The sequence below is a fragment of the Homo sapiens genome, chromosome 14 (genome assembly GCF_000001405.40).
Source record: "Homo sapiens chromosome 14, GRCh38.p14 Primary Assembly".
Taxonomy (NCBI): domain Eukaryota; kingdom Metazoa; phylum Chordata; class Mammalia; order Primates; family Hominidae; genus Homo; species Homo sapiens.
The window spans coordinates 63,701,780-63,721,941 of NC_000014.9; the positions used below are offsets into that span (position 1 = coordinate 63,701,780).

The 20,162-nt window shown below is 40.0% G+C and overlaps 1 protein-coding gene across 1 annotated transcript in view, besides 1 other annotated feature; it reads right to left on the reverse strand.

Moving 5' to 3' along the window:
* SGPP1 (sphingosine-1-phosphate phosphatase 1) overlaps window positions 1–20,162 on the reverse strand; it is a 43,850-nt gene that overhangs the window by 17,564 nt on the left and 6,124 nt on the right. The window lies entirely within an intron of this gene.
* Window positions 3,868–3,997: an enhancer, noted in NCBI's record as "active region_8514". NCBI's record gives its function as "activates an Ori minimal core promoter by ATAC-STARR-seq in GM12878 lymphoblastoid cells {active_cell/tissue: GM12878}" and the evidence as "EXISTENCE:reporter gene assay evidence [ECO:0000049][PMID:35858748]".

The following is a 20,162-nucleotide window of genomic DNA, read 5'->3' on the forward strand; positions in this document are numbered from 1 at the left end:
AAAACAGGAAGACCAGTTAGAAGGCTGTTGGTATAATCTAGGTAAGAGATAACAGTGGTGTCTGTCTCTACAGCAGGGACTTGACCTTTAAAGTCTTTAAAAACCTTTAAAGTCTAATTTTTAAAAAGCTGTTGACAGCAAAAAAAAAAAAAAAAGAACCAAAAGAAGTAAAAAAAAAAAAAAAGTCAACTTTAAAAAAATCTTTCTGCACTTCCTTCTCTAACTTGGACCCTATAAGGAAGTAGAAATGTACAAAATTACTGATAAGAGTTCTTTATACACAACAAACTGAAGAAAAAATCACCTATAGAGTCTCAGAAGCTAGAGGTGAAGGTAGGACGGGGAAGGGTAGAGATTTTAAATAGGAGCAATGAAACCAAGTATGACTTAACCCACATTTATTCAATTTTACGATGTCCAAGGTGTTTAAAAAGGAGAGATGGAATGTTATCAAGCCAGATGCAGAGGCTAAAGAAGCTATGAGGCTTTCCTTTTCTCTGCTCCATGGCACCTTCAGATTTCACTGGGATGAGGTGACTAAAGAAAACAAAATAAGTCATTTTTATTGACCGACTTTTTTTGGTCATTACTCTCCACCTTTATGATATGTTCTCTAGATTTTTTTATGGAAAAAAAATATTTTGGGGCCAAGCATGGTGGCTCATGCCTGTAATCCCAGCAGCACTTTGGAAGGTCGAGGCAGGCTGATCACTTGAGATCATGAGTTTGAGACCAGCCTGGCCAACAGGATGAAACCTTGTCTCTACTAAAAATACAAAAATTAGCCAGGTGTAGTGGCACGCACCTGTAGTCCAAGCTACTTGGGAGGCTGAGGCATGAGAATCGCTTGAACCTGGGAGGCAGAGGTTGCAGTGAGCCGAGATTGCGCCACTGCACTACAGCCTGGGTGAAGAAGTGAGACTCTGTCTAAAAAAAAATTAAAAAGAAAACATTTTGGGGAACACTTGATCCAGTTCTGACTACATGATGACTTTCATATTTACTCCCCATTGAATAACAGAATTCTGAACTTCTAAGTGTCAAAGTAAAAAAGAATTTCATCAGTAAGCAGACAAAAAAGACTACAGATCTTAATGGCTAAAGGAAATAACAGATAAAGTGATATTTTTTTTTACTGTGCCTAATTTATAAATTAAACTTTATCATAGATACATATGTACAGGAAAAAAACAGTATATATAGCGTTGACTACTATCCACAGTTTCAGGCACCAATGGGGGTCGTGGAACATATCCTCTGCTGATGAGCGGGGCTACTATACCCCCATTCACAGACGAAGTGATCCTAAAGATAGAAAATCCCAAATAATCCATGAAGAAAACATATTAGAATTAATAAATGAATTCAGCAAAGTTGCAGGGTGTAAGATCAACACTCACAAATCAGCTGTGTTTCTACATACCAGCAATAAAAAAAAAACCCTAAAATGAAAGTAAGAAAAATAATTCCACTTTCAGTAGCATCCTAAAGAATAAAATACCCATACCTAGGAATAAACTTAACTAAGGAAGTGAAAGGTTTGTCCATTGAAAACTATAAAACATTACTGAAAGAAATTAAAGACCTAATTAAGGCCAGGCACAGTGGTTCATGCCTATAATCCCAGCACTTTGGGAAGCTGAGGTGGGCGGATCACAAGGTCAAGAGATCAAAACCATCCTGGCCAACATGGTGAAACCCTGTCTCCACTAAAAATACAAAAATTAGCTGGGCGTGGTGGCGCGTGCCTGTAGTCCCAGCTACTTGGGAGGCTGAAGCAAGAGAATTGCTTGAACCCGGGAGGCAGAGGTTGCAGTGAGCTGAGATTGCACCCCGGCACTCCAGCCTGGCAACGGAGCAAGAGAGACTCCATCTCAAAAAAAAAAAAAAAAAAAAAAGACCTAATTAATGAAAAGATATCCCATGTTTATGGATTAGAAGACTTAATACATTAAAACTTAATATGTTAAAATGGCACTATTATCTAAAATGATCTATAGTCAATGTAATCCCTATTTAAGTTTTTTTTTTTTTTTTTTTTTTTGGCGGCAGGTGGGGAGTGGGGTCTCGCTTTATCACCCAGGCTGGAGTGCAATCTAGCAGTGGTTCAATCATAGTTCACCATAGCCTCCAACTCCTGGACTCATGTGATCCTCCCAATGCAGCCTCCCATGTAGCTGGGACTACAGGTGTGCACCACCATACCCTGCTAATTTTTTAATGTTTTATAGAGATGGGGGTCTCGCTATGTTGCCCAGGCTGGTCTCCAACTCCTGGGCTCAAGTGATCCTCCCATTTTAGCCTCCCAAAGCACTGGAATTACAGGCCTAAGCCACCATGCCCAGCCCTTCTGTCAAAGTTCTAATTGCATTTTTGCAGATACTGAAAAGCTGATCCTCAAATTTATATGGAATTGCAAAAGGTCCTGAAGAGCCAAAACAATACTAAAAAAGAAGAACAATGTGGAAGGACTCATATTTTCCAATTTCAAAATTTACTACAGTATTCAAAACAGTGTGGTACTGACATAAGGTCAGACATATAGACCAGTGAAATAGAATCGTGGGCCCCAAACTAAACCCATATACGTATGGTTAACTGATTTTCAATAAGAATGCCAAGACCATTAAATAGGTAAAGAATAGTCTCTTTAACAAATAGTGCTAGGACGTCTGAATACCTACATGCAAAATGATGAAGTTGGACTCCTATCTCATACCATATATACACTCAAAATGGGTCAACAACTTAAATATAGCAGCTAAAAACTTTTAGAAGAAATCATAGGGGCCGGGTGTAGTGACTCACACCTGTAATTCTAGCACTTTGGGAGGCCAAGGCAGAAGGATCGCTTGAGCCCAGGTGTTCAAGACCAGCCTGGACAACACAGTAAGACCCTGTCTCAATAAAGAAAGAAAATCTTTAAAAAAATTTTTAAAAGAAAACACAGGGATAAATCTTTATGACTCTGGATTAGGCAACAGATTCTTAACTATGACACCAAAAGCATGTGTAACAAAAGAAAAACATAGGTAAACTGGAATTTCATCAAAATTTACAAATTGGCCGGGTGTGGCGGCTCAGGCCTGTAATCTCAGCACTTTGGGAAGCCTAGGCAGGAAGATCACTTGAGGTCAGGAATTTGAGACCAGCCTGGCCAACATGGTGAGACCCTGTCTCTATGAAAAATACAAAAAATTAGTCAGGCATGGTGATGTGTGCCTGTAGTCCCAGCTACTTGGGAGGCTGAGGTGGGAGACTCGCTTGAACCCGGGAGGTGGGGGTTGCAGTGAGCCGAGATCGTGCCATTGCACTCCTGCGTGGGTGACAGGGCGAGACTCTGTCTTTAAAAAAAAACAAAAAAACAAAACAAAACACTCATGTACATCAAAGGAAATTATCAAGAAAGTGAAAAGACAGTTTACTAAATGGGAGAAAGTATTTGCAAATGATATATTTAATAAGGATCTAGTATGCAGAATTTGTAAAGAACTCTTACAACTCAAAAACAAAAAGACAACACAATTGAAAAATGGGCAAAGGACCTGAATAGACATTTCTCCAAAGAAGATATACAAATGGCCAAAAAGCACATGAAAATATGCTCGCCTGGCATGGTGGCTCACACTTGTAATCCCAGCACTTTGGGGGGCCGAGGTGGGCAGATTGCTTGAGCCCAGGAGTTTGAGATGAGCCTGGGCAACAAGGCGAAACCCCATCTCTAACAAAAATACAAAAATTAGCCAGGCATGGTGACATGCACTTGTGGTCCCAGGTACTTGGGAGGCTGAGGTAGGTGGATCACTTGAGCCTGGGAGGTAAAGGTTCCCACGAGCCAAGATCATGCCATTGCGTTCTAGCCTGGGTGACAAAGTGAAACCCTGTCTCAAAAAATGGGAAATGAAAATGAAAAATGAAAATCAAAATCACAGTGAGGTACAACTTCATACTCCACTAGGATAGCTATAATAATTAACAGAAAGAAAAAAGACAGGAAAGTAACAAGTATTGGTGAGTATGTGGGGAAATTGGAAGCTTTATACATTGCTGTTGGGATGTAAAATGAAGCAGCTGCTATGAAAAGCAGTTTAGCAGTTCCTCAAAAAGTTAAACACAGAATTACCATACGACCCACACATTTCCAATTTTAACTATATCCCCCAAAGAAATGAAAACCAGTACTCAAATACATTTATACATATGTTCATACCAGTACTATTCACAATAACCAAAAGGCGGGCATAGCCCAAGTGTTCATCAACAGATGAATGGGTAAATTATTTGTGGTATATACAAACAATGGAATAGTAGTCAACACAAAAGGAATGAAGTACTGATGCATGCTACAACATGGATGAACTTAAAAAACATTATGTTAAGTGAATGAAGCCAGACACCCAAGGTCACATATTATACAATTTCATTTATATGAAATATCCAAAATAGGTAAACCTATACAGCCACAACATGGATGGTTGCCAGAAGTCAGGGGGAGAGAGAAACGGGGAGCCAAATGCTTAATGGGAAGAGGGTTCCCTTTTGGGGTGATAAAAGTGTTTTGGAACTAGATAGAAACAACGGTTGTACGACATTGTGAATGTACTAGAGCTGAATTATTCACTTCAAAATTATTAATTTTATGTAAGTTTTACCCCAAGTTAAAAAAAAATAAACCAAAAATAAACATATCCAGAATGTGACCACTTCTACCTCTACCATTATTACCTGCTGTAAGCCACCAGCAATTCTCTCCTGCCTGTATTACTATAATATGTGTCTGGCACATAGTGCGCAGTCAATTAATACTTGTTGAACAAAGTAAACATAAGCCTTCAGCCACCAGCCTTACCATATTATATTCATGAAAACATGTGTCAAACGCCATAGTATCATTCAGTTCCTGGCCTCAAACATGGGCTGTGTTAACCCTTAGTTCTAAGAGCAACTGTGAAATCCACCATAATAAATTGCAATCTGAAAATCCTTTTCAGTAAACTTAAGAAACAGAATCCCAGCACTTTGGGAGGATGAGATGGGTGGATCACCTCAGGTCAGGAGTTTGAGACCAGCCTGGCTAATGTGGCGAAACCTTGTCTCTACTAAAAATACAAAAATTAGCTGGGCCTGGTAGCATGCGCCTGTAGTCCTAGCTACTCGGGAGGCTGAGGTGGGAGAATCACTTGAACATGGAGGCAGAGGTTGCAATGAGTGAGATCATGCCACTGCACTCCAGCCTGGGAGACAGAGTGAGACTCTGTCCCAAAAAAAAAAAAAAAAAAAAACTGACCCATATATAATCATTTAATGTACACATTAAATGAGAAAAATATAATTTAAAACATTCTCAATCTACGGTTTTGACCTATTTGCATCTAATGTCAGTGTTATTACTGTTTCTCTTTTGAACTCTTAAGTTACAAAGAATCAGTTTAGCAACTGAACTCACCATATACACATTATAATTAAAAATATATTTTATATCAAAAACCACAGTAAGGGAAGTGCTATTTGCTACCATACTAGTCGATATAATCTTACGTTAAAAAAACAGGATCTGTGTTCCAGTTCCTATTAAGGAAAGAATCTGTGAAGAAAGAGTAGGGCTACATGTTATAGCTTGTAACACGTCAGAGCTACAGGCAGGCCCCAGCATTCCAGATCATGAGGAAGAAATTCCTGATTGCCTCTCCAGAAACCAATAAATATAGACGTCCAGGCAGTTTCCAAGTCATTAGTACTTCTTCATTATCTACTGATTTTTTTTTTTTTTTTTGAGATGGAGTTTCTCTCTTGTTGCCCAGGCTGGAGTGCAATGGCGCGATCTCGGCTCACCGCAACCTCCGCCTCCCGGGTTCAAGCAATTCTCCTGCTGGTCAGGCTGGTCTTGAACTGCCAACCTCATGTGATCCACCTATCTCGGCCTCCCAAAGTGCTGGGATTACAGGCATGAGCCACTGCACCAAGCCCTTATTAAGTATTTTTTTATGTCTTGGATAATCCACCCTCATCTGCTTCGAGGCTCCAGAAAACTTCTCCAGTGTCTTGTGTGGATTCTGTGCAGATTTTTTTTTTAAATCCCTATTCAAACCTCCAGGGTTGAGAACAAATCTAGTCTGTGGTGACAATAGTTGTATAGCTGCCTCGGCACTCAGGAAAAAGTGAGTGTGGTAGGCTCATTAAGTACAATAATTTTCAAAATGCAAAACGCATTACAATGGCAAACTCAAATTCTGTCTTTCCCACATTAGTAAATTTAGCAATTCTGTAAGAGCTTAGTTTCTATTTTATAAAAAGTCAGAACTAGGGGGACTATCTCTTCCCCCATTCCTCAGTCACAGCAATCTAACTGACCTTTCTCTTGTTTCTGATACATATTTGTGGTATCGTCCTCCACTCTCTCCACTTCTTTTCTATTCCTACCTAACCCAATCTTTCTTTTTTTCTTGGTACTCACTGGCTATAGCAGCAATCCTTTTTTTTTTTTTTTTTTTTTTGAGATGGAGTTTCCCTCTTGTCTCCCAGGCTGGAGTGCAATGCCCCATCTCGGTTTACTGCAACCTCCGCCTCCTGGGTTCAAATGATTCTCCTGCCTCAGCCTCCCAAGTAGCTGGGATTACAGGTGCCCACCACCATGCCCAGCTATTTTTTTTTTTTTTGTATTTTTAGTAGAGATGGGGTTTTGCCATATTGGCCAGGCTTGTCTCGAACTCCTAACCTCAGATGATCTGCTAGCCTCGGCCTCTCAAAGTGCTGGGATTACAGGCATGAGCCACTGTGCCCAGCCAGCAATCCTTTATTTCTGACCGTTAATTTGGCTAGACTTTTTTAAGCCAAAATTCAATTCTAGGCAGACATTAGGAGAAATAAATATGAATTTATTATTTACTGAGAGGTTAGTAATTTTTATTTGACATACAATTTACTACATACCAGGTGCTATTCTAAGAGCTTTTACAAATATTAACCCATGTAATCATCAGAACAACCATATGGCGTAGCTATTCTAATTCACCTCATTTTATAGATGAAACTGCGGCACAGCAGGGTCAAATTTTTGCCCTAAGTCAACCAGCTATCAGGTTATGGATCTGTGATTCAAGCACAGGAAGTCTGATTCCTGAGTCTGAGCTCTTAACTACTACACTATGCTGCCCTTCATATATAAAGTTGTTCAAAGTGTGTTGTTTAATTTCTTTTATCCTTAGGATCAAGTAGAATATCACTCAAATATATTTTAAGTTTTTCTTAGAATGAAGGCTAAATAAAAATTTCATCTAATTAGAGGTAGAAGAGAGCTTAAAGATACTAATTCTGGCTGGGCGTGGTGGGTCACACCTATAATCCCAGTACTTTGGGAGGCCAAGGTGGGTGGATCACCTGAGGTCAGGAGTTCGTGACGAGCTTGGCCAACATAGTGAAACTCCGTCTCTACTAGAAACACAAAATTAGCCGGGTGTGGTGGTGGGGGCCTGTAATCCCAGCTACTCGGGAGGCTGAGGCAGGAGAATCGCTTGAACCCAGGCGGCAGAGGTTGCAGTGAGCTGAAACTATGCCATTGCACTCCAGCCTGGGCAACAAGAGGGAGTCTCTGTCTCAAAAAAAAAAAAAAAACCATTAATTCTATCCCTCTCTCTTTACAGTTAAAGAACAGACCTATGGATGCTAAGTAACATTCAGTATTATACTCTAGTGACCTATTCTAATTCCTTTTCCAATTTATCATTGCTTCTTACTTTATATTTTTATCATTACACAAATGGGTAACAATTTTAAATTTGGCAGGGGTTTCCTGGCTTCTGTTTTCATTTTCATAGAGAATGTTGAGCTGTATCTGTGGCATTTATGTATTTCCTCTAATAAGAATGTTTTTACTGAAATTAAATCTTTAGGTCTTATAGAGTAGAAAGTAAAAATTACAAGTCCTTCACATTATTTTCAAATACATAAAAATGTAAAAATGTACCAAACCCAAAACAGATCACATGACATCCTAGATGTTTTTAATTTCATACCACTATCTAATCTTTTCACTGCACATCCTTGATCACAAGAAAATTTATCTAAACGTTTCCCTCAATTATTCTACCAAACGGCTTTTTTCTTTGTGATATACTTTCTCACTATTATACATAATAAGAATTATTTTGCATATTTTGGCATGTTCCATTTACATTCATTGAAGGTAGTAAATTAAGTCAATAAAATCACTTGCAATTAAAACAATTACAAAAACTGTCTTTAATACAATTTAAATTTTTCAGAGTAACTTAAATATGGAAGGCAGGCACAGGAAAGAATTTCTGTTCAATTCTAGGAATGAATAGTGTACATGTAAACGGATGACAATAATGGCACATTAAAGATAGACATGCCTTGTTCTCATACATTACTAGTGTAATGAAAACTGATACAACCTTTCTGGAAAGCATTTTGTCAATACACAGAAGAGCTCTAAATGTTCATATATATTGACCCAGCAATGCTAGAATTCTATACTAAGGACATAGAAATGTGGGTAAGGATTCATATTTTTAAATGTTTGTCATAAAATTATTGATAACATACAATAATTATAAACCAAATTTATTGGTTATAATGAAGTAGTTAAAAATATGAGTTTATAGAGCTACATAGACCTATCACTATTTACTTCATGCATTATATTGGAACTCCAAACATGTAAATAACAGAAACCAATTTAGATTATTTTAAGAAGAAAAAAAGGAGATGCATTAAAAGGATAGACAGCGTCTCACAGAACCCTAAGGTGGAATGAGGCTAAGCTTGGAGAAGAAACCACAACTATAAACAGAACAGTCACAGGATCATCTTTTCTTTCTATATTTCCGCTTCATTTTTCTTTTTCTACAGACCAGCTTCTCTGCCTTTCAGTCCACATGACAGACAAAGGCTTCTGAATTTACTTCCTCATTGAGAAAACCAGCCCAGACTCTGTACCTGTTCTCAAATCCTAAGGGACGAGATCATGTAAAGAAAATATAGCTTCCCTATAGGTAAGGGAGCTTTTAGAGAGTTATAAACTAGGCAGACACCCCAAAAGCTACTTCTTCAGTTGTAGGACCATGGGATAGGGCTAGCCGCATAATCTCTTTACATCTCAGTTTCCTCATCTATAAATGGGGATACTAAGACCTATAATAATCATAACCCTACAGTATAAAAACTATTTCATAGGAATATTTTTAAAATTTCATTCATTAAGATTGTTTTCTTTCTTTTTTTTTTTTTTTGAGACAGAGTTTCACTCTTGCTGCCCAGGCTGGAGTGCAATGGCGCGATCTTGGCTCACTGCAACCTCTGCCTCCCGGGTTCAAGCGATTCTCCTGCCTCAGCCTCCCAAGTAGCTGGGATTACAGGCGTCCACCACCACGCCCAGCTAATTTTTTGTAATTTTAGTAGAGACGGGATTTCCACATGTTGGCCAGGTTGGTCTTGAACTCCTGACCTCAGGTGATCCGCCCACCTCGGTCTCCCAAAGTGCTGGGATTACAGGCGTGAGCCACTGCACCTGGCCATTAAGATTGTTTTCTAGGGATTTATATTGGTGGGAAAATTCTTTACATAATGTATTACTCAGGGTTCTCCAGAGAAACAGAACCAATAGGATATGTATATCTACATATACAAAGAAAAGTTTATTTTAAGGATTGGTCATGCAGTTGTAGGGGCTGGCAAGTCCAAAATCTGCAGGGCAGGCCGACAGGCTGAAGACCCAGGGAAGAGTTAATGTGTAGCTCAAGTCTGAAACCATTCTGTTGGCAGAATTCACTCTTCTTTGGGGGAGGTCAGTCTTCTCTTAAGGCCTTCATTTAATTGGATAAGACCTACTCACATTATGGAGGATAATCTGCTTTACTCAAAGTCCACTGATTTAAATGTTAAACTTGTCTAAAAACTACTTTCAGAAAAACATCTAGATGTTTTGATCATTTTTGATCAAAAGCTGAGTACTTTTGCTGGCCATGGTGGTCAAGGCCTGTAATCCCAGGAAGGCCAAGGTGGGCAGATCACTTGAGGTCAGGAGTTCCAGACCAGCCTGGCCAACATGGCAAAACCACATCTCTACTAAAAATATAAAACTTAGCTAGGCGTGGTGGTAGGCACCTGTAATCCCAGCTACTGGGGAGGCTGAGGCAGGAGAATCGCTTGAACCTGGGAGGCGGAGGTTGCAGCGAGCCAAGATCGCACCACTGCACTCCAGCCTGGGCAACAGAGCAAGACTCCATCTCAAAAAAAAAAAAAAAAAATCTGAGTACCTTTACTCAAATAAACTGATACATAAAATTAATAATCACATATAATATTAAATAAAAAGAATAAACTCCACATATAATATGGTCCCAACTATTTTCAAATTGTAAGGAAATAAAAAATTAACATTAGCTTTTTCTTTTTTTAATTTATTTTCTAAGTCTTCTATAAATTTCAGTACTTATCTTGCTTGTTCTCTTAGCAGAATAACAATGTTAACTACTTTTCTTTTCTAGAAACACCCTCTCTCTTACTTTCACTTCTGGCTTCCCTCTGTACTACATTCATTTTATGATACTGTCCAATCTACACCCCTCTCTTCTGAAAACTTCCCCCACTTGGACCCAGCAGTGTGGCCCTGGAGACATGCTCATCCCCTGTGATCCTGCTCCCTTGACCACAGCTACTTGGATCAGGAATGAACACTTGGCACTAGGGAAGCAAAACCATTGGCTGTGCTGAGCCAGTCAGATTCTTTTTTCTAAAAGTAGCTGCAAATAAAGTCAGAAAGAGAGTCTCTACTGTGTGCTTGAATTTATAAAAATAAAACTATGAGTGAGGCAGACATGTGCGTATGAAAACAGAACATTTTTAATTTTTTTGTATTTTTTACTTATTTTTTGTTTGTTTTTTTGAGGGAGGGTCTTGCTCTGTTGCCCAGGCTGGAGTACAATGGCACCGTTACAGTTCACTGCAGCCTCAACCACCTGGACTCAAGTGATCCTCCTGAGTAGCTGGGACTATAATCCCAGCTACTTGGGAGGCTGAGGCAGGAGAATTGCTTGAGTCTGTGAGGTGGAGGTTGCAGTGAGCCGAGATCGTGCCATTGTACTCCAGCCTGGGCAACAAGAGCAAAACTCTGTCTCAAAAAAAAAAAAAAAAAAAAAATGGCATTTCACCATGTTGCCCAAGCTGGTTTCGAGCTCCTGGGCTCAAGCAATCCACCATTCTCAGCCTCCCAAAGTTCTGGGATTACAGACCTGCACCACTGTGCCCAGCAGACCCTCTCTTCTTCTGTGTGTACTCATTTTGCACCTATATGCTGATGACAAGAAACTGGTCCTGATCTTCATGTATAGAACCATCTCCTGGACAGCTCCAGATGACTTATAGACACTTCAAACTCGAAATACCTAAAACTGAAGTCATCTCCATGCCGTTGCCACTTTCCCCAAATCTGACCCACTTTCATTATTTGCTATTTCTATAAACCAAACTACTACTTCTCAGCTTGCCAAGCAGGAAACCTCAGAACAATACTTTTTTTCCTTCTTACTGATATATCCAATTAGTCACCATGTTTTGTCAATTCTACCTCTTAATATCTATCAAATTCACCCATTTCTCTCTACTGCCATTGACACTAAGTCAGGGACTGGCAAAGCTTTTTGTAAAGAGCCTGATAGCAACTATTTAGGCTCTGTGGCCTAAACGGTCTATGTCAGAACTGGTGTCAGTCATAATCCCAAAAGATACAATCCTGAATGTTGAAATCCCAAAAGATCAAAATCTCTAAAGTCTAAAATCTCTAATATCTAAAATCCTGAAAATTAAAAACCCAAAATATTAAAATCCTGGAATTTGAAAGCCAAAATCTAGGGAAGAAATTTAGCACATTTTTGGTTGTATGTGGGATAGCCATATCATGTTAGGTGAAGTATTTTCTTGCTATTGTCTTTACATGGAAATTATATACAGTTCATACATATGGGTGTGAAGTTGACAAGGTTTGAATTTGTGGACTTAATTTTAGGTGTCAGCTTGACTGGATTAAGAAATACCTAGAAATCTGGTAAAGCATCATTTTGGGTGTGTCTGTGAGCATGTTTCCAGAGGAGATTAGTGTATGAGTCAGAGTGGACTAGATGGGAAAGATCTGCCCTCAATGTTGGCATGCACCATCTAATCTGCAGGAGGCCCAGACAGAACATATCCAGAAGGTTAACTGGATTCTTTGGGAGATGGGACAGACTTTTCTTCTGCTGCCTTGGATGTTAGAACTCCAGGCTCACCAGCCTTGGGATTCCAGCACATACTTACACCAGCAACCACCCAGATCCTGAGGCTTTCAGCCTTGGACTGGGAGTTACACCATCAACTTCCCTGGTTCACAAGGTAAAAATGTAGAAACTTAATAAACGAAGTGATGTACATCTGCATTTGTGAAAGATAAAATTTCTTGAGATCTTGACTCTTTGGGTGACTGCACATGTGGTAGCTGGCCCATGTGGTTTTTGATGGATCTCATCAAAAGGCTCAGATTGTCTATCATGGTATTTCAGATGACCACAGTTAATAAAGTGGAGTGCACACAATTACCAGCCATAGTGATAAATGTTTGTACTTCACTTTTTTAACTCTTTATTTTTTTTAATTTTCATTTTTTACTAATGGAGTCTCGTTCTATCTCCCAGGCTAAGACACAGTGGCATGATTATAGTTCGCTGCAGCCTCCAACTCCTGGGCTCAAGTGATCCTCCCACCTCAGCTTCCCAAGTATCTGGGACTACAAGTACATACCACCACACCTGGCTAATGTTTAAATTTTGTGTAGAGAAAGGGTCTTGATTTGTTGCCCAGGCTGGTCTCGAACTCCTGGCCTCAAGTGATCCTCCTGCTTTGGCTTTCCAAAGTGCTGGGATTACAGGCATGTGCCACCATGCCCAGCCTTGACCTCCTTCTATTTTTATTTATTTTTTTTTTTTTGAGACAGGGTCTCACTGAGTTGCCCAAGCTGGAGTATAGTGATGTGGTTACAGCTCACTGCAGCCTCAGGTGATTTTTCCCCACCTTAGCCTCCAGAGTAGCTGGGACCACAGGCACACACCACCACGCCTGGCTAACTTTCTATATTTTTTATAGTGATGGAATTTCACCATGGTGCCCAGGCTGGTATCCTGAGCTGAAGAGATCCTCCTGCCTCAGCCTCCTAAAGTGCTGGGATTACAGGCATGAGCCACTGCTCCCAGCCGACCTTTTTTTTTTTTTTTTTTGAGATGGAGTGTTGCTCTTGTTGCTCATGCTGTGATTTTGGCTCACTGCAACCGCTGCCTCCCGAGTTCAAGTGATTCTCCGCCTCAGCCTACCAAGTAGTTGGGATTACAGGCGCCTGCCACCACGCCCAGCTAATTGTTTGTATTTTTAGTAGAGACAGGGTTTCACCACGTTGGCCAGGCTGGTCTCGAACTCCTGACCTCAGGTGATCCACCCACCTCAGCTTCCCAAAGTGCTGGGATTACAGGCATAATCCACCGCACCCAGCCAATGACCTTATGAATACAGTTCATCTGCTCATAACTGTTGTACCTGTGCAACTGTCATTAGTATACCTGAGTATGCTTATAAAAATATGTATGTTATTATTGTCTATTTTATTGTTTAAAGTGACTTATGAAGCATTCTGTTGTGTGTTTGTATGTTGTTCGAATAAAACCCCCTTTTTTTTGAGCCGGAGTTTCACTCTTGTGAAACTCAGATCCATGAGAAAAGGGAAACAAATGAGCCCTGTGATTGCATTATCCTGCTGCTAGAGGCAGTTTCCAGGCTGTAGCACAGGAGGAAGAATCAAAACTGAGTCCAGCAGTTTCCCTGAGTTAAGGGGAGAAAGACTAGTATCCTCAGAAGCCAAAGAGGCTGTAATTTGCAGGACAGAGTATTGGAGAGACAAATCTCAGAGACTGAGCCCTGGAGATATGTAGAGGGAACTCATGAAGTTGCTGGCTGAGTACTAATCTGTGCATGCATGGGGAGAAATCCACCAGACTGTAGAAAAAACCACTGTGGAGAGGAGCAGGCCAAACAATTCCCAAAGCTCATATAAGCTTGCAATTGCTTTCCCATCAAGCAGTGAAGAGGGAATTGGGTAGAATGGTTAGAAGGTTATCATGTAAGTAGTGAAGCTAAATTAGCCTTAACCTACGATTATTCTGGACCATCCTATCAAACCTAGAAGGATTTAAACTGACAAGTAATTTAACTGCACACCAGAACAAACTCCAAGACTATGTAAAGAAATACAACAAAATCCAAAACTGTAAAAATTACCAAGCAAGGAATTAGGAAAATATGATCTATAATCAGGAGAAATAATAGAAACACACAAAGATGACAAAGATGATGGAATTAGAAGATAAATACCTTAAGATTGCTATAAAACATCTTATAAATTGGCTGGGCAAGGTACTGTAATCCCAGCACTTTGGGAAACGGGGGTGAGAGGATAGTATGAGCCCAGGAGTTCAAGACCAGCCTGGCCAACATGGTGAAACCCCATCTCTACTAAAAATACAAAAATTACCTGGGTGTGGTGGCGAGCGCCTGTAATCCCAGGTACTTGGGAGGCTGAGGCAGGAGAATCGCTTGAATCCGGGGGGTGGAGGTTGCAGTGAGCCAATATCACACCTCTGCACTCTAGCCTGGGCAACAGAGCAAGACTCAGTCTCAAAAAAACAAACAAAAAAATTAAAAATATAAAATTAAAAAATTTAAAAAATTAGCCAGGCATGGTGGCACACACCTGCAGTCCTAGCTACTCTGGATGCTGAGGCAGGAGGTTCCCTTAAACCCAAGAGTTCGAGGCTCTTGGGTTTAAGATCTCACAATTGCACCCCAGCCTGGGTGACAGTGAGTCTCTGTACCCAATAATACTTTTTTTTTTTTTGAGATAGAGTCTCACGCTGTCACCCAGGCTGGAGTGCAGTGGCACAATCTCAGCTTACAGCAACCTCTGCCTCCTGGGTTCAAGCAATTCTCCTGCCTCAGCCTCCCAAGTAGCTGGGATTACAGGCGCCCACCAACATGCCAGCTAATTTTTGTATTTTTAGTAGAGAGGAGGTTTCTGCATGTTGGCCAGGCTGGTCTCAAACTCCTGACCTCAGCTGATCCACCTGCCTTGGCCTCCCAAAGTGCTGGGATTACAGGCATGAACCACCGTGCCCAGGACCCAACTGTAATTTTTAAAAATCTTCTGAACTTACTCAAGAATACAGAAATATAATGAGCTGAGAAATTGAAGATTTTTTAAAAGACCCAAATGCAATTTCTAGATATAAACTACACAGAATCTGAAATTATACCCTATCCTACTTGATAAAATTACCAGAAAATTAGAGATTGCAAAAGAACAGGTAAGTGAACTTAAAGCCATAGCAACAGAAACTGTAAAAAAGGAAGCAGGGAAAGCAAAAATGCTTAAAAAAAAAAAAAAGAATAGAGCTTCAGGGACCTGTGAATGAACAGTTTAAAACACATGAAATTGGAATTTCTCTTTTTTTTTTTTTTTGAGACGGAGTCTCACTCTGTCGCTCACGCTGGAGTGCTGTGGCATGATATCCGTTATCGGCTCACTGCAAGCTCCACCACCCAGGTTCACGCCATTCTCCTGCCTCAACCTCCCGAGTAGCTGGGACTACAGGCACCCACCATCATGCCCGGCTAATTTTTTTGCATTTTTAGTAGAGCTGGGGTTTCACCATGTTAGCCAGAATGGTCTCAATCTCCTGACCTCGTGATCCGCCAGCCTCGGCCTCCCAAAGTGCTGGGATTACAGGCATGAGCCACCACACCCGTACTGAAATTGGAATTTCCAAAGAACCGAATGGAAGTGGGGAAGGGAGAGGAAAAAAATTCTAAAAATAATGCTGAAGATCTTCCAAATATAACGAAAACTACAAACCCATGGATTCAAGCTCAATGACCTCAAAGCAGAAGAAATACAAAGAAAAAGCATGTTAAGGCACATCATTTTTAAATTGCTCAACACTAGAGAAAAAGAGAAAATTTTAAAACCAGCCAGAATAAAAAATACATATTAAGTACTGGGGATCACAAATAAGAATTTCAGCAGATATTTTGTCAAAAACTATGCAAGCCAGAAGGCAATGGTACAACATAGTACTAAAAGTGCCAAAAGTAGCCGGGCACAGTGGTTTACAACTGTAATCCCAACACTTTAGGAGGCTGAGGCAGGCAGATTACTTGAGGTTAGGAGTTTGAGACCTGCCTGGCCAACACAGTGAAACCCTATCTCTACTAAAATTACAAAAAAATTAGCCAGGCATGTTGGTGCTCGCCTGCAGTCCCAGCTACTTGGGAGGCTGAGGCAGGAGAACTGCTTGAACCCAGGAGGTGGAGGTTGCAGTGAGCCAAGATTGGGCCACTGTATGCCATCCTGGGGAACAGCGCAAGACTCCATCTCAAAAAAAAAAAAAAGAAGTGCCAAGAGAAAAAACAAAACTATCAACCTAGAATTCTGAATTCTGTATCTTTATTTTTGGATTCTGTACCTCATGAAAATATTTTTCCAAAATTAATTCAATATATTTTTCAAATAAAAGAGCTAAGGAAATGTTATCACCAGCAGATCTATAGTAGAAAAAATGTGAAAAGAGGCTCTTTAGGTAGGAGAAAAATTATACCAGTTCCAAAACCATATTGGGACATTCTATATCATACATTGGAACATTATACAAAAATAATAACGATGAATTGTGAGCCTTAGGACATATATGGATATAAATGCATGACAAAGAGAGGGCAGGGATAAGTGGAAATATACTGTTGCAAGGTTCTGATGCTATACTTGAACTAATGTAATATTATTTTAAGGTGAAGCAACCACTAAAAAAAGATACAGTTTTTAAAAATCAACATGTGCCCTATAAATATATGCCTACTAGGTACCCATAGCAATAAAAAAATTAAAAATCTGTAAAGATCAGTAAGTAAAATACCAATAATCTAAGTGAAAAAAAATAAAAGAAATGCTTTGAATAGACAGCTCACAGAAAAGGAAACATAAGTGGTCAATAAACCTATGGAAAGTTCTTCAACTTTACTGATAAGACTAATTCAAATTAAATACAATGTTAAAATTACTTTGTCATCTGTAAAATTAGGATAGTAAAAATTCATATATATGTATATACATATATATATATATATATATATATATATATATATATATTTTTTTTTTTTTTTTTTTTTTTTTTTTTTGACATGGAGTTTAGCTCCTGTCATCCAAGCTGGAGTGCAGTGGCATGATCTTGGCTCACTGCAACGTATGCCTCCCAGGTTCAAGCGATTCTCCTGCCTCAGCTCCCGAGTAGCTGGGATTACAGGTGCTTGTCACCACACCCGGCTAATTTTTGTATTTTTAGTAGAGACAGGGCTTCTCCATGTCTGACCTCGGCTGATCCGCCCACCTCAGCCTCCCAAAGTGCTATGATTACAGGTGTGAGCCACCACGCCTGGCCACATAAAAATTATTTTTTTTTAATTTAAGAAAAATTATTTTGAGGAATATCAATAAATTTGATAACATACTGCAACACTGAAAGCATAGGAAACCAGATACTCTCATACATTTCCAGGATGAATGTAAATTAGTACAATCTTTATGACAGGCAATTTTACGTTATCTGTTAAAATTTAAATGCCTATATTCTTTGACATAGTAATGTGTTCCAGTAAACAGTCACTGTGTCATTACACTAGCAAACAATTGGAAAACTAAAGGTATTGGAATATTTCTTGAGGGGAGCGCTGGGAAAATAAATAAATAAATGTATAGAAATAGTCAACTTATTAAATTATGTCATATTAATATATTGGAACAGCATGCAAATGTGAAAAAAATTAGATAGCATTTTCTCTCTCCTTCTGTTTGCCTCTCTCCCTCTCTCTCTCTATATATATATAGAATTAATTTATGTAAGGCATTTTTAAAAATCATAGACACATAATTAGTATTCATTAATTGTTGGACTTAAAAAAAAAAAGAAGGCCAGGCACGGTGGCTCATGCCTGTAATCCCAGAACTTTGGGAGGCAGAGGCGGGCGGATCACCAAAGGTCAAGAATTCGAGACCAGCCTGTCCAATACGGTGAAACCCCATCTCTACTGAAAATACAAAAAAAAAAAAAAAATTAGCTGGACATGGTGGTAGGTGCCGGTAATCCCAGCTACTCGGGAGGCTGGGGCAGGAGAATTGCTTGAACCCAGGAGGGGGAGGTTGCAGTGAGCAAAGATGGCACCACTGCACTCCAGCCGGGCGACAGAGGGAGCCTGCATCTCACAAAAAAAAAAAAAAAAACATGCTGGGCATGGTGGCTCATGCCTGTAATCCCAGCACTTTGGTAAGCTGAGGCAGGAGGATCATTTGAGCCCAGGAGATTGAGACCAACCTTGGCAACATGGTGAAACCTATGTAAAAACAAAAATGGTAAGAAAAAAAGAAGAAATAGAAAAAAAGGAAGGAAGGATGGGAAGGAAAGAGAAAAAGGAAAAGAAGGATGGATGGATGGAAGGAAGGAAGAAAGAGACGGAGGGAGGGGAAGGAAGGTCTTTGCAATATATTACTAAGTGATAAAAGCAAGATCCAGAACAGTACAGTATATTACCTTGTGTATGAATAATAAACTATATAGGCCGGGTGCGGTGGCTCATGCCTGTAATCCCAGCACTTTGGGAGGTCGAGGCGGGTGGATCACCTGAGGTCAAGAGTTCAAGACCAGCCTGGCCAACATGCTGAAACCCCATTTCTACTAAAAATTAAAAAAATTAGCCGGGCGTGATGGTGGACGCCTGTAATCCCAGCTAGTTAGGAGGCTGAGGCAGGAGAATCACTTGAACCTGGGAGCCGGAGGTTGCGGTGAGCCAAGGTCGCACCATTGCACTGCACTCCAGCCTGGGCAACAAGAGCAAAACTCCGTCTCAAAACAAACAAACAACTATATAAATGTATGTCTGCAAAAGTAGAGACTACCTCTGGGAAGCTAAACAAGAGATGTCTAACACTGAATCCTTCAGAAAAAAAGACCCTAGAAGCTGTGGGACAGAGAAAGAAATGTACTCTTCTTTTCATGTTTCTTTTTTTGAGACAGAGTCTTGTTCTGTCAGCAGGGTTCAAGCAACCTCTGCCTCCCAGGTTAAAGCAATTCTCCTGTCTCAGCCTCCCAAGTAGTTGGGACTACAGGCACCTGCCACCACACCCAGCTAATTTTTGTATTTTTAATAGACACGGGGTTTCACCATATTGGTCAGGCTGGTCTTGAACTCCTGACCTCAGGCGATCCGTTCGTCTCGGCCTTCAAAAGTGCTGGGATTACAGGCGTGAGCCACAGCACCCAGCCTAATTTCTGTATTTTTAGTAGAGACAGGCATGGTGGTGGGTGAGCCAAGATCGTGCCACTGCACTCCAGGCTGGGCAACAGAGCAAGACGCCATCTCAAAAAAAATACAAAATTAGCCGGGTGTGGTGGCACACACCTGTCATCCCAGCTACCCAGGAGGCTGAGGTAGAAGAATCACTTGAACACAGGAGGCGGAGGTTGTAGTGAGCCACGATCATGCCACTGCACTCCAGCCTGGTGACAAGAACAAGACTTCGTATCCAGAAAAAAAAAAAAGGAATTAGTAATAAGGACTTATAAACTCAGGAAAACGTGAATTTCAAACACAAGTATCGTGCTCCATAAAAAAGAGGCAAGCCAATTCAATTTTTTAATAAACTGTGTTTCTTTCCAGAATTACCATAGTGATCAATTTTTCTTGGATCTTGCAGCCTCCTCTGGTCTTTACTGTGACCTACTTTTGTAACTCTTACTTTTTGCCTTTCTTCCATTTATCTTTTCATGACCTCACAGATATCTTCTTCTATTATTTACAGTAAACAACATTTTGACAGAATATTCTTATGTGTCTTTCTTTTCCAAAGCTCTTACTATGTTTATCAAATTTTTTATTTATATTAGGTGACAAATCAGCATTTGATTTCAGTCAACATCTTCATACATGTTTAAAACACAAATATTTGTGGATGTTGCATATGTATGTACATACACAAACACAAATTATCTTCTCAAGGTATATAAAAGCTATTCTCATATTTT